Source organism: Homo sapiens, chromosome 2 (genome assembly GCF_000001405.40).
Source record: "Homo sapiens chromosome 2, GRCh38.p14 Primary Assembly".
In the NCBI taxonomy this organism is placed as follows: domain Eukaryota; kingdom Metazoa; phylum Chordata; class Mammalia; order Primates; family Hominidae; genus Homo; species Homo sapiens.
In genome coordinates, this window is record NC_000002.12 from 148849934 (window position 1) to 148865113 (window position 15180).

General features: G+C 43.0%; 1 long non-coding RNA gene and 1 pseudogene across 1 annotated transcript; one reads left to right on the top strand and one right to left on the bottom strand.

The window, feature by feature from the left end:
• Nucleotides 1–5152: 5152 nt before the first annotated feature.
• Nucleotides 5153–9569, top strand: LOC101928526 (uncharacterized). Its single transcript, XR_244868.1, has 2 exons — nt 5153–7911; nt 9266–9569. It is a non-coding gene; the product is annotated as an uncharacterized LOC101928526 (long non-coding RNA).
• On the bottom strand, nt 13494–13901 carry UBBP3 (ubiquitin B pseudogene 3; annotated as a pseudogene).

Here is a 15180-nt window from a genome sequence, read left to right on the forward strand (position 1 = left end):
GTGAGAGTGATCTACAGTCTGGTATTCTTGGTTTTCTACACCTGGCACAGGTCCTCCATCCTATGGATTAAGTCTGGATGGAAGAATAGAAGAGAGCTCATCAGGAATTTAGCTTCTTCAACTTGCAGTTGGAAGGGTTGAGAAATGCTGGTGGCCTGCCTTTTCCAGTGAGATATGATAACCATTGACTAGGCAGTGAGAGAAGAGGGAGCCCTGTCTTCTTGACCACATCTATTTGCAGTGGAGTTCTCATGGAGCTGAAATGGGGTAGAGAGAGGAAGGGCGACAGGAGACAGGCAAGGCTCAAATGCTACAGATTCTTATCGTTCTTATTGAGTTTTAACACATTTCTTTCAATAAATATTTCTTTATTTGTTCTATGCCCTTAGGACAATTTCCGGAGGCTTTAAATGGTTATTTTTCTGAAAATAGTTTTCACCAGCTTTGCTTGTTTTGCTGGAGAATGGGTCTGCAGAGCTCTGCATGCTACCAAACTGGAAGTGGCATTTCTGTCCAATCCTCCATTTTATCCTCCACTGATGAGGTGGTTTTCTTTGGGGCATTTGGATTGATATTGTTACTTTGTTTAGAAACTTTCAGAATTCCTGTGCCAGGAACCACTAGTTGAGATTTAATATCTATTTTCCCCTTCCTTCTTAAGCACAGAATCTCAATGTTATTTGGGACAGCAAGGTACCCAGCTAGAAGACTACAGCAGTGAGGTGTGCTTGTGTGAGTGAGTTCTGGCCAATGAGTTGTAAGGGGAAGTGTTGCCTGCATTTTGGAGGGGGCTGCGGAAAGGGAGCTGATTAGGTAGGATTGTGGCCCTTTGCCTTTCTTGTTGCCTAGCATGTGACCTTGAAGGCTGGTGTGCTAACAGTCATCTTGGACAACGAGGCAACCTTGAAAATGGAGGTTGCGCACTCAGGATGGCAGAGCAAAAATATAGAAAATCTTTTTGCATTGATTACTAGGTTCTTTGGGGGATGCCTGGAGATGCCATATCAGTCCTGGATCATGTTCTTATAAAGAGTATAAATCCTTCTATGTTTAAGCCACTATTTTTTCTGAAATGTCACCTCTCCTATGAAGTAATGCCTTATCTCTTGACAGTTAGAAATGGTTCCTTTGGCTTTTGAATTGTCATAAGTTACCTCTAATTCCCCATGGTACTGCTATATAACATTCTCGCTTGTATCGATGCTATTTGGATTTATGCTGTTAGGGAACCAGACGGCTAGCCTAATAAAATCTAGTGCAGATCCTCCAAGGCTGGCTCTGGGAGAGGAATCACCGAGTAGGGAGTGCTGGCTGGACCTCAAAGCCCTGACTCCTACTCTCAGTAAATGCTCCTACCACCTACAGGCTGGCCTCAGGGACCCTGCTTTACTTTTGAGGGTTCAGCCCAAGTACTATGACATATAACTCTTTACTTAATTCTATTTGACACAACTGAGAATAAGCTAGGAGATTATTGAAAGCTCAGGGTACAAGAGGGGGAAATAAACAAAGACAGTAAAATAACACTAGGTAATCAATCTTACTAGTCCTCTTTGGCTTGGGGTCCCTGCTGCACCCTTTACTGCTTCCACATAGCAGATCCCTTCTGTGCCTTGTCATCTCTAGATTCAGTGGCAAAACTGTTCAGATGAAGCCACCACATTATCTGAAAGCCTTCGGAATATGAAAATAGTGGGCATCTGCATCTGGCATGCCCAAGCTGAAACCTGGATCCTAGTACTTTTGAAAACTTGGTAATTAAGAAGATAAAAACAAGCAAACAACTCCTCTCATCTAAAATCTCCCTTCTTGAGGTAATTTATTTGGTCCTGGGATTCCATTCAGGGGGAAATTTTAGTTATGCAAATGTAGAGCAAAGATCCTCTTCTAAATGAAGGTGTTTGAGACTAGTTCCAAGGAGATAAACTTTCCTAGACTTTAAGATAATAATGTTGTCTTTGCAGAATGCTGAGTTGTGTCTTTGCAGACTTTTATTGCTTTTGGAGAAAATACTCTGAACTAAGGAGGGGGTCAGTAATGATGGAAAAGCTAGCACAGTGCCTGGGCCTTGGACTTATACAGAACCCCTATATTAATCAAAGGAATGGGAATTAGAAGATAATAGAACTGTTTTCATGGAAGAATTTGTGACACTCAGGGTTTAAGACAAATTTTTAGGGCAGATGACAAAGAGAGAGTAATAATAGCAATATATAATAATAATAGCGTGATGGTTAATACTGAGTGTCAACTTGATTGAATTGAAGGATGCAAAGTATTGATCCTGGTGTGTCTATAAGGGTGTTGCCAAAGGAGATTAACATTTGATTCAGTGGGCTGGGAAAGGCAGACCACCCTTAATGTGGGTGGGCACCACCTAATCAGCTGCCAGTGTAGTTAGAACATAAAGCAGACAGAAAAATGTGAAAAGGCTAGACTGGCTTAGCCTCCCAGCCTACTACGTCTTTCTCCCATGCTGGATGCTTCCTGCCCTTGAAAGTCAGACTCCAAGTTCTTCAGCTTTGGGACTCGGACTGGCTTCCTTGCTCCTCAGCTTGCAGATGGCCTATTGTGGGACTTTGTGATCATGCGAGTTAATACTGCTTAATAAACTCCTATATATATCCTATTAGTTCTGTCCCTCTAGAGAACCCCTACTAATACAAATAGCAAACACTTCTATAGTGCTTATTTCTTGCCAAGCATACTCTAAAACTTTAGGTATGTTAGCTCATTAATCCTCATAGTAACTTTGAGGTAGTACAAAGATTATTATCTCTATTTTACAGATGAGCAAATTGAGGCACAGAGAGGTTAGATAGATTGCCCAAAGTTACTCAGCTGTGCAGAAGTGGATCTGGGATTCAAACCCATGCAGCCTAGCTCCAGAGACTGGGCCTTTACTCTTCTGACTGTTCACTTAAGAAAAGTATCCCTTTCTCTCCACCTCTTTGTGAAACCCTGAATGTCTTAGTTTGTTTGGGCTGTTATAACAAAATACCATAAACTGGGTAGCTCATAAATAACAGAAATTTATTTCTCACCATTCTAGAGGCCAGAACATCCAAGATCAAGGCACCAGCAGATTTGGTGTCTGGTGAGGGCTTGCTTCCTCAAACACAGCGCCTTCTGTCTGTGTTCTCATATGATACAAGGGGCAAACAAACTCTCTTATGCTTATTTTATAAGCACACTAATCCCATTCATAAGTACTCCACTTCCATGACCTAATCACCTCCTAAAGGCCCCAGCCCTAACAGTATCACCTGGGGATTAGGTTTCAAATATGAATTTTAGGGGGATGCAGACATTCGCATTATAGCACCGAGGACTGACAGCTCTTGTCAATGGCATTCCAACTCCCTTATGAATATTCCTGATGAACAGAACGGCAGATGGTTTTCATCTATTTATTTTTCACCTGGTCACCTTATTGAACTCTCATATTAATTCTATTTGTCTTTCAGCTAACTCTCTGTGATTTGCAGTGGTGATGGAGGTAATCATCTTTCCCGCAATTATGCATAATCTGGCTTCCATTTTTTCCATAGCTGTGCCTCCCATTTCTGTTTGCTACCTTAGCACACCAGCTATAATTTATGGAATAATAAAAATGGAATTGGGTTTTCCAATGGTTCTCAACAGGATAAATATGACATCAGAGAATATAGGGGCAGAGTAAGTGGTGGAGAAGAAATTACAGTCATTTAGGTGTGATGTCATGATGGCTTAGTCTGGTATGATTGCTCAGGACATAAAAAGGGGGGATATACGGGAAAGATGCTTTAGATAAAGAAATTACTAGACTTGTGATGTGGGTGAGCAATAAAATAAATACATCTTCCCCAAAACCCACTGCTATACTGATGGTAACAATTTGTAACAGATGTTAGTATCCGTTGAAAACATATGGCTGGTCATCAACAGGAGGTAAGAGGAAGTAAATGAATCACAAGTCTCAGTTTTTGAGAGTATTAGTATATATATATAAAATCAAATCTCCATGGTGTGTGTGTGTGTGTGTGTGTGTGTGTATATACATATACATATATATATTTATTTATTTATAATCTCCATGGTTCATTCTTCACTTCCTGAGCTATTCAGTCCCATTCCTCTCTGCCTGCTCCAGACTCAAATCTTCTGTTTTTTTCCACAAAACCCACTCAGGGCCTTTGTGCATTCTGTTACCTGTTCTTCTACCAATCTTGGTTTAATGGCCCTAGTTCAGGGAGTCCTAGATTTCTTCAGCTCTTGGACCAGTACCAGTGGTGTCTTTTAGCATTCTGCACCCTTCTTTCCAAAGTACTCACCACAGTTGCGATATCTGCCACAGGTCCACTCCTCCGGATATTTGTGTCATTGTGTAATGTCTGTTTCCCTCACTGGACCATCAGCTCCAGAAGGGCATGGAGCAAGGCTGTATTAGTTTCTGCCATATCCCTTGTGCCTAGTACAGAGCCTGGCATACAGTACATAATCCATAAATGCTTGTTGAATGTACTCATTCAAAAACCTATCTTAAATAATTAGCACTTACACAGTGATTTTCTAGCTTATATACAGTAACATTTCATGTCTGCTGTGCCTCACCTGGTCCTGTGCATCAACTCTGTGAAAAATACAGATATGGGACATTTAGCTGATGTCTTATGGATGTATGGTATTTTCACCTGTGTCATCTCACTTAGTGCTCACTGAGACCCTTGCAGTTTATAGCCCAGCAGCCCTAAGCTCTGAATATGACATGCTCCTTACACATGTGGGTCCTTGTCTCTGCCGAGCATGTCCCACCATTGCAGATGTCATTGTGCCCCACCCAGACAGCCTTTCCCAGCCTGTGCACCTCTCCCCTAGCTGCTGGGAGCATTGACTGTTAACAGCTCCTAGCCGCTCCCTTCTCTAGAGAATTGTCCTCCACCAAAGAGCATAGAATGAAGTATCCCACCTGGGAGGGGGCAGCACATAGTCCATGACTGACTGACACAGGGGTACAGAAAGCCATCACTTGGCCTCGAGGAGATTGCTATGGTTTGAATGTGTCCCCTCCAAAATTCATGTGTCGAAACTTAATCCCCATTGTAGTGGTATTAAGAGGTGGGGCCTTTGGGATGTGATGAAGTCATAAGGGTTGTGCCTTCATAAATGGATTAGTGCCTGTGAAAGAGCTCAAGGTTGAAGGGATCACCCTCTCGCACTTTTGCCATATGAGGACACAGCATTCACCCCCCTTTCTTTGCCTTTCCATCCCTTCTGCCATGTGGGGACACAGCAAGAAGGCCCTTACCAGACACAAAACCTGCCAGTGCCTTGATCTTGGACTTCCTAGCCTCCACAACTATAAGAAATGAATTTCTGTTCCTTATGAATTACCCAGTCTGTGATATTGTGTTTTAGCAGCACAGATGGACTAAGATAGTGGGGAGCTTCCTCCTGGGCCTCCTGGAGAGCCCACACCCTCCCTGCCCTCTCCCACACTCCTGCTTCCCTGACTCTCCAATAGATGTCTCTGCAGGAATCCCCTTCTCAGGCTCTGCTGCTAGGAAGATCAACCTAAGATACATTGCCTTGTCCATCGTATGCACCTCTTGCCTGCCTGTAAAGCTTTCTCTGGCGATGTAAGACTGGCAAGTGCAGACAACATAGGAAGCACCCGGGGCCAAGTGGGTTCCTGCAGTCTGGCAGGTATGGAGGGAGTGCCATAGAGTGGGCATATATGAAAGCCACTCTGCCAGGGCCCAGAGCTGAGGAAACCAGCGCATGGCCTTCCCTGGGGCACTCAGGCATACACCACCACTCCTTGGTGAGCTGGCTCTCCTGATGCCAATACTCACTCCTTAGCCTTCCTTCCTTACTTCTAATGCCAGAAGAAAAAGTAGGGGGAGGCTTTGGGCTTTGGGTTCTATAGGGGCTTACAACAACAGGGCTTCATTTTCTCAAGTCCCACGGCCACTGGACCCTTGAAGTTTGGGCTTCTAGAGTGGCCCAGGGAGAAGGTGGAACTTTCTCCCACCTGCCCAAGGCTCACCTCCCTTTTCCAGGGCACTGACAGTAGACATGTGTGCCCCCTTCAACCCCACCACTCCCAGGGGACACCCTGCAAGTTTCCTGCAAGGTCATGGCCTTACCCTGTGACTGCCACAGGTCCACTCCTCCAGATATATGTAGGAAAGCCCAGAATTCATCTCAGAGATGAACACATACAATTTTTCCCGTCTTTGTTCCTGCACTAGATGGTAAACTCCAGGAAGGCAAGAATCATGTCTTGCTTACCTTAGTAGCTCCCATGGTAGCAAGAATATAATTTATTTTTCTGAATTGGAAGAGTCCTTAGAGAAATGTGGTATAATTTCCTAGGGCAAAGTCTTGTGCTCAATCTCATTAAATGAGTGAAGGCACATTTTCTTTTGAATAGGATCTTGCAATAACTTGAGTCAAAGCATATTAAAGTGGCTTTTTAGAGTCAATTTATATTTTTATGTATATTTTAGGGCAGGGAAGCCTATAGGTATCCTCAAACTCTATTAAATGAGAAGACACCTTTTGATGCTCTCTCTTGCCACTCTTACTCAGTATAGTATTGGGACAGGCAACAGAAAGAAATAAAGCACATCCAAATAGGAAGAGAGGAAGGCAAATCATCCCTGTTTGCAGTCGACATGATCCTATATATAGAAAACTCCACAGTCTTGGCCCAAAAGCTCCTTAAGCTGATTAACAACTTCAGCAAAGTCTCAGAATTAAAAAAAAATCAGTGCACAAAAATCACTACCATTCCTATACACCAACAATAGTCAAGCCAAAACAATTCCATTCATAACTGCCACAAAAAGAATAAAATACTAGGAATACAGCTAATCAGGGAGGTGAAAGATTTCTACAATGAGAACTACAAAACACTGCTCAAAGAAATCAGACAGGACACAAACAAAAGGAAAAACATTCCATGTTCAAGGAGAGGAAGAATCAATATTGTTAAAATGCCCATACTCCCCAAAGCAATTTATAGATTTAATGCTATTATTTTAAAAATAACATTGAGATTCCTTATAGTGCTAGAAAAAACTGTTTAAAAAATTCATATGCAACCAAAAAAGAGCTTGAATAGCCAAGGAAGTCCTAAGCAAAAGAGCAAAGCTAAAGACATCAGGTTACCTGACTTCAAACTATGCTACGGGGCTACAGTAACCAAAACAGCAGGGTACTTGTATGAAAACTGACACACAGACTAATAGAACAGAATAAAGAGCCCAGAACTAAAGCCACACACCTACAACTATCTGATATTTGGCAAATCTGACAAAAACAAGCAATGGGGAAAGCACTGTCTATTCAATAACTGGAGCTGGGATAGCTGGCTAGCCATATGTGGAAGATTGAAATTGGACCCCTTCCTTACACCATATACAAAAATTAACTCAAGATGGATTAAAGACTTAAATGTAAAACCCAAACATATAAAAACCCTAGGAGACAACCTAGGCAATACCATTCTGGACACAGGAATAGGCAAAGATTTCATAATGAAGACACCAAAAGCAATTGCAAGAAAAGCAAAAATTGGGATCTAATTTTCTCCAAAATTTTGTCTAAAAATTAGACAAATGGGATTTAATTAAACTAGAGAGCTTCTGCACAGCAAAAGAAACTATCAATAGAGTAGACAGAAAACCTACAGAATGGGAGAAAATTTTTGCAAACTATGCGTCTGATAAAGGTCTAATATCCAGCATCTATAGGGAACTTAAATTTACAAGGAAAAAACAACTCTGTTGAAAAGTGGGCAAAGAACATGAACCAACACTTCTCAAAAGAAGATACATGCAGCCAACAAGCATATGAAAAAGCTGAACATCACCAATCATTAGAGAAATGCAAGTCAAGACCATAATGTGATACCATCTCATGCCAGTAAGAATGGCTATTATTAAACAGTAAAAACAAAAAACAAAAAACAGGTGCTGGCGAGGTTGTGGAGAAAAAAGAAATGCTTATACACTATTGGTGGGAATGTAAATTAGTTCAACCATTGTGGAAAACAGTGTGGTGATTCCTCAAAGACCTAAAAACAGAAACACCATTTGACCCAGCAATCCCATTACTGGGTATATACCCAAAGGAATATCAATCATTCTATCATAAAGACACACCCACACGTATGTTCATCAGAGCACTATTCACAATAGTAAAGACCTAAGTCAACCTAAATGCTCATCAGTGGTAGACTGAATAGAGAGAATGTGGCACATACACACCATAGAATACTATCAGCCATACAGAAGAATGAGATCATGTCCCTTGCAGGAACATGGATGGAGCTAAAGGCCATTATCCTTAGCAAAGTAATGCAGGGAACAGAAAACCAAATACTGCATATTCTCACTTATAAATTGGTAGCTAAATGATGAGAACACATAAACAGATAGAGGGGAAAAATACACATTGGGGAGTTTCAGAGGGTGGAGAATGGGAGGAAGGAGAAGATCGGGAAAATAACTTATGGGTTCTAGGCTTAACACCTGGGCGATGAAATAATCTGTACAACAAACCCCCATGGCACAAGTTTACTTACGTAACCAACCTGCACATGTACCCCTGAACTTAAAAGTTAAATTTTAAAAAAGACATATTTTAAAAAAATCTATTACTAAGGCTTGCATGAAATTTTGAGATAGGAAGAGAATAGGCTACAAAGAGAGTACTGCAGGCAGAACCAGAACCTTTCACACAACCACCTCCCCATTACCCCTTCTGTTTTCCTTCCTTCCTTTTTTGCTCCCTCCCTCCCTCCCTCCCTCCCTCCCTCCCTTCCTTCCTTCCTTCCTTCTGTACATAGTTGCATGGATGTCTCCCATAAATGGTGTCCATGAGTCCACACCTGTTTTAGTCTGCTCAAATTGCCATAACAAAATATCTTCGACTGGGTGGCTTAAACCAAAGGAAGTTATTTTCTTACAGTTTGGGAGGCTGGAAGTCCAAGGTCAAGGTGCCAGCATGGTTAGTTTCTGGGGAGAGCCCTCTTCCTGGCTTGGAGAAGGTACCAGCTCACTGTGTCCTCACATGGCATGGAGAGAGAGAGGGAGCTTTCTCTCTTCTTATAAAGCCACAGCCCTATTAGATTAGGGCCCTTCCCTTAACTCATTGAACCTCAATTACCTCCCGTGGCTTGAAGATTAGGACTTCAACATATTATTTTAGAGGGGGAACATAATTTAGTCCATAACAACATCCTTTGCCCTAAAACTTTGTGGCTTGATTTGGCCAGTGTCAGCAAATGCAAAGCAGAGGTGTAAATGGTACAAGCACATTCCCACTTGACCTCCTGCACACTTGGGCTTGCTCACTCCTGCACCTCTACCTTGCCATGAGAACACATCTCAGCCAGCCTCATTGAGTGATGCGAGAGACATGTGGAGAAGAGCCAAGATCATCTTAGAACAAGCTGACGGGCCAGCTGATCCCCTAAAATGTGAGTGAGCCCAGCCAAGGTCACCTGAGCTGGGGCTTCTTCAGCAGAACTGCCCAGCTGACCCATGGATTGGTGAGAATAAAAAATGGTTGTTTCAGGACACTGAATTTTGGAGTGGTTCGTTACACAGCAATAGCTAACGAATATCCTTTCTCTGTTCCTTCTTTTTCTTTTTCAAAATATGTTTATGTGTATGTGTACCTTTTTTCTACATTTCTTCTGTTAGAGTTTAAGGACTGAATCATATCTCCAAATCTCCTTTAATTCCTGATCACCTGAACTAGAATGCTACCCTTAGTCCTCTCTAGCCTTTCACCTTTCTTTACTTTTCTTCATGGCATTTTTTGCCGCTTGACATACTATGTCATATGCTTACTTGTCCATTGTTTACCTCCTCCAGTAGAATGAAAGCCACATGAGGGCCTGGACCATGTCTGTCTTGTCAGTGTTGCATTCCCTGCATCTAGAACGTGTCTGGCACTTAGTAGGCACTTTATAGGTATCTGTGGAATGAATGAGTAAATGAGTGAATACATTTTTGGAAACACTAAAACAATGATATTTATTTGAGATGTGCTTGTATATGTTTATGTATATGTAAACTGAGTCCTTATGGCATGGATTAAATAGAGTAAAATAGAACCTAGGATTTAAGTTTTGGGGCTGGTGCTAGCATTTTGCTGAGGTACCGAGACGCATGCCAGTAAAAATTGACAAGGAAACAGCACAAACAGTTGGCTTTCACTAACCAGAATGAAGAGGATGAATGTTGCCAATGTGTGTATTGTAGGAGTAATAAGTCCTTCAAACGGGGCTGGGGAATTGTTTGCCAAGTGGGTTCAAGCTGTGGCCTTACCCACAACTATGTGCTTGTGTTAGCAGAATCTGGAAGCTTCACTATTTATGAAAGGATTGGGCTTTTTAAGTATTATTTATAACAATTCATCTCTTTTCTGAGTTAGAGTGTCTTATCCAATTAATTCATTGGTAATTCAATTACTCCCTCTCCTCTTAAAAGGGAGTGGGTCAGGCTGGGCACAGAGGCTTATGCCTGTAATCCCAGCACTTTGGGAGGCAGATCACTTGAGGCCAGGAGTTCAAGACCAGCCTGGCCGACATGGTGAAACCCCGTCTCTACTAAACATACAAAAAATTAGGCTGGGCGTGGTGGCTTATGCCTGTAATCCCAGCACTTTAGGAGGCTGAGGTGGGCAGATCACTAGGTCAGAAGTTCGAGACCATACTGGCTAACGTGGTGAAACCCCATCTCTACTAAAAATACCAAAAATTAGCCGGGCCTGGTGGCGGGCGCCTGTAGTCCCAGCTACTCGGGAGGCTGAGGCAGGAGAACCTGGGAGGCGGAGCTTGCAGTGAGCCGAGATCGCGCCACTGCACTCCAGCCTGAGCGACAGAGCGAGACTCTGTCTCAAAAAAAAAAAAAAAAGATACAAAAAATTAGCAAGGCATGGTAGCACATGCCTGTAGTCCCAGCTACCTGGGAGGATGAGTCGGGACAATGAGCTGTGATTGTGCCACTGCACTCCACCCTGGGCGATGAGACCTTGTCTCAATAAATAAATAAATAAATAAATAAATAAATAAATAAATAAATAAGGGAATGGGTCATTTAAGGGAAAATAAAGTCATGTTCAGAGTTCCAAGCCATCTGCAGTGCAGTGGGGCCAAGTGGTCAGCTGGCTTCCAAAGCAGAGGCTGCTGGTGGCAGGCTGGCCAATGGCCATATTAACGTTCTATGAGATCTGGATGTTACTGGCTGTCAGTAAGTAATTTGTGTGTGTCTTTGGGAGGTAGGGAATTGGCAGGGAGGAGTAGAAAGTAGGGGCATTCGACTCTGGTAGAATTGAATATGAAATGAGTGATATGGAGGACACCAAGTATTGAACGTTGCTGCATCAGCATCTGTTTCAGGAAGAATTCCACAGGGGAGAGGATGAGGTCTCTTTCATGCCTCCATTAATCCCCAAGTTTCATTCACAGCAACACCATGGTTGTTTTCCCTTTTCTGGACCTGCCTGTCCACCCTCCCCCAGCCCAATTCACTTGGTTAAACGAGTACTCATGACAGCCATGATTGCTGAACACGATTTTGCTCTTGGTTGGAGTTCATTTGTCCAACAGCGGCACCTGACCTGGGCTGAGACCATCGGAGTCCAGAAGTAAAACTGAAACTGAGAGAGAGAGAAAGAGAGAGCACACGTGCCCTTTCATAATTCTCCAAGGGGATAATTATCAGCTTTTTTTTTTTTCTCCTGAGCTCAGTTGCAGTCCAGCCTATTTCTTCAAGAATTATAATTAACTCCTCTCTGTTTTTTGCCTTAGCTAGCCTAAGTAGATTTCTCTTGTTTACAACCCAACACACCCGTATTATGCCCCTCCGTTGTTGCCATTCATGGTATACCAGTTCCATGCCCTGTGGGAGGTGCTGTCTCTGGCTTGAAAGCCAATGGGCCTCAAGTGTCAAAGAACAAAGGAGCCCAAAAGGCTGGAGCTATTCACCCAAGTCTCCAATTGGTAAGAAGGGCTACCTGCTTGGCTTTGCTGGACAGTGAGTCCAAGGGGAAGGGTCAGAGATCCCATGGAAAGAGTGATCAGAATCTCTCCAATTCTGTCCTTGAATTTCCAATCTCATTGGTGTTTCTAACTGTGCTTAGTAATCTTCATTTACCTGAGTACTCTTCTATTTACAAACTTTTAGTGACTTCCCACTGCTGGCTGAAGGCCACCCAGACACTGTGACCTGCTGTTTAAGGCTCTCAATGATTTGGCATGATTTTTCAGTTTTACTCCCTAGATGTCTCCACACAAATTTGTACCACTTTACCCCTAAGAGAACAAATGCTTGCATACCTGGTCCCTTTGCCATTTTGGGCAAGAAGTCTGTACCTGTAAATTTTTCAGGATTTTGATTTATGTTGCCCTCTCAGAAAAATTTTACAAACATACCCCGCTACCATAGGATAAGAGAAGGCTGCCTTCCTGGTATACTTTAGAACATCAAGCACTATTCTTTGTAATCTTTGCCAGTGGAATGGGTATTCCTTTGGTTACTAATGAGGCTGAATAGTTATTCATGTATTTCAGGATAATTCTTTTATGTATTGTGTTTTAATGGTCTTGGCTAGTTTTTCTACTGTGAATTTACAACTGTCATTTTTCTTGTGAGAATTCTTTTTTTTTTTTTTTTTTTGAGACAGAGTCTCTCTCTGTCACCAGGCTGGAGTGGAGTGGCATGATCTCAGCTCACTGCAAGCTCCGCCTCCTGGGTTCAAGCGATTCTCCTGACTCAGCCTCCGGAGTAGCTGGGATTACAGGCATGTGCCACCAAGCCCAGCTAATTGTATTTTTAGTAGAGGCGGGGTTTCACATGTTGGCCAGGATGATCTTGATCTCCTGACTTCGTGATCCACCTGCCTTGGCCTCCCAAAGTGCCGGGATTACAGATGTGAGCCACTGCGCCTGGCCGAGAATTCTTTATTAAAGATATCAACTCTTTGTCACATATGTTGCAGAAGCCATCCTTAACTGATTGTCTTATTTTACTATTGTGTATGGTTTTTGATGTATAGAACTTTATATTTTTAGGAGGGGTAATATATTGCTTTTTTCCTTTGATGGTTGCTATCTTGGGTTTTTGCTTAGAATGGCTGTTATTTCTCTTTTAATTTTGCTACAGCTTATCTTCCAGCTAGACTGAGGCTTTTTGAGGGAAGGGTTTATTTTGTTTCCAAAGTTGTATCCTTTGACTCTACTCTCTGCTCTATTTCAGTGTAAGTGATCCAGAAGGAACAACTAATTAACTTATTGGCTGCTGTGGCAGGCAGCTTTTTAAGATGCCCTGGATGATACATGACTCTTATTATTTACATCCTTGTGTGACCATTTCCCTCTGAATGTGTGCTAGACCAGTGACTTGCTTCTAATCAATGGAATATGGCAAAAATGATGGATGAGATTAAGCTATGAAGAACTGTGGTTTCTGTCTTATTCCCTTTTTTTTTTTTTAACCATGCAACAAAACGCTTATTAACATTTTGAGCAGGTTCAGCTATTACCGAAACTGGTAATTTATAAACTTAAATTGGGGCAAATGGCTTTAGTGCAGAGTAGTGCCATCACTTGTCACTACGAATGCAAGACTGAAGAATTAATAGCCACCCCTCAGATGGAGGACCAGGTGCAGGGCTGACTCTTTCTGAATGTTGTAGTCACAAACAGTGCAGCCATCTTCTAACTGCTTGCCTACAAAGATGAGACTGTGCTGGTCAGGGGGGATGCCCTCTTTAACATGGATCTTGGCCTTCACATTTTGGAGGATGTCACTTGGCTCCACCTCCAGGGTGATGGTCTTGCCGGTCAGGGTTTTCAGGAAGATTTGCATTTTGACCTCTTGGAGGATGCGAGGAAGCTGCAGATCACCAATCACATTCAGCCACTGGAATGCCTCCAGACGCTCGCCATTCAACAAGGCCATTCGCCACTCTGTTCCCTCTTTCTTACTTGTTCCTCATGATGCCTACAGCTGTGTGAGGCCCACATGATGAAGAACAGAGGGCAGCTTCTAGCCAACCCCCAGTGAGGAACTGAATTCTGCCAACAACCACATGAGTGACCTTGGAAGCACATCCTTCCCCTGCTGAGCTTTGAGACGACAGCAGACCTGGCGGCATGAGAGAGAACCTGAGCCCCAGGACCCAGAAACATGGTGCCCAGATTCCTGACCCAATATGAAATAACAAATGTTGTTTTAAGCTGCAAAGTGTTGGAGTAATTTGTTACATGGCAATAGATAATTAATACAAGTGTTTAGTTCTTCTAGTCTTTGGGTATTTTTCTTTCACTTCTGTTGAAGAAAACCCCATTCCATTTACTGCTTCAAAAAGTAAAGTGGAATCTCTACAGGGAACCCCATCAACTTTGGAAATCTCAAGTGTCTTTATGGAACATATTTACAAGCAACTGATTTGCTGAGGTTGCGGCTGTGTATTGCCATTGTGGGTAATGGAAAACATGTTTCTATTCATTTTTCCTTCCCACAGCCTCTGAGGAGGATGGAGCTGGTGACTACAGGAGACCCTTTAGTTTTGCTGAACACAGTGATAGGTTTGGGGCTGCAAACTTGGACAGAGCTGGGATACATGGACTGGCTCTGTCTGCATCTGGGAGGAAGAGTCCAGGGGAAGTCAGGACATGGGAGAGAAGAGTGATGTGGGATGTCAGGAGAGAAAGGGACCTTCTGTGGCTGCATGATGGGGATGGGACTCTGGAGACTGTGGGGTGTGCGATAGAAATCCCTCATCTGTGTTTCCTGGTGCATTTTAGTAAGTTTACATGACTTCTTAATACATCCCTGCAAGTGGATGTTTAGAAGAGCTACCAATGTTGAATTCTTATCCAAATGGGGGCATGAATGAATTAGACACAGTTTCTGGAAGATGAGGGAATAGCTGACATGCAGGTCATGCGGGGTCAGCCCTGAGGCAGGCAGGGGGCTTTGAAGCCCCTTGCCTCCTGTATCTCAGCTCCTCACTGGGCCCAGTGCCTCGTGCCTGCATGCTGCCCTGAGATTGCCAATGCTCATTCACAGGTGCCCTCACCCTACCACCAGGACACAGAGCTTGGCTTTTCTCCCTCCTTTCCTGTCCCTCCTTAGACTCAATGTTTTGCCGTCTTATTTTTCCAGAGCCCTGACT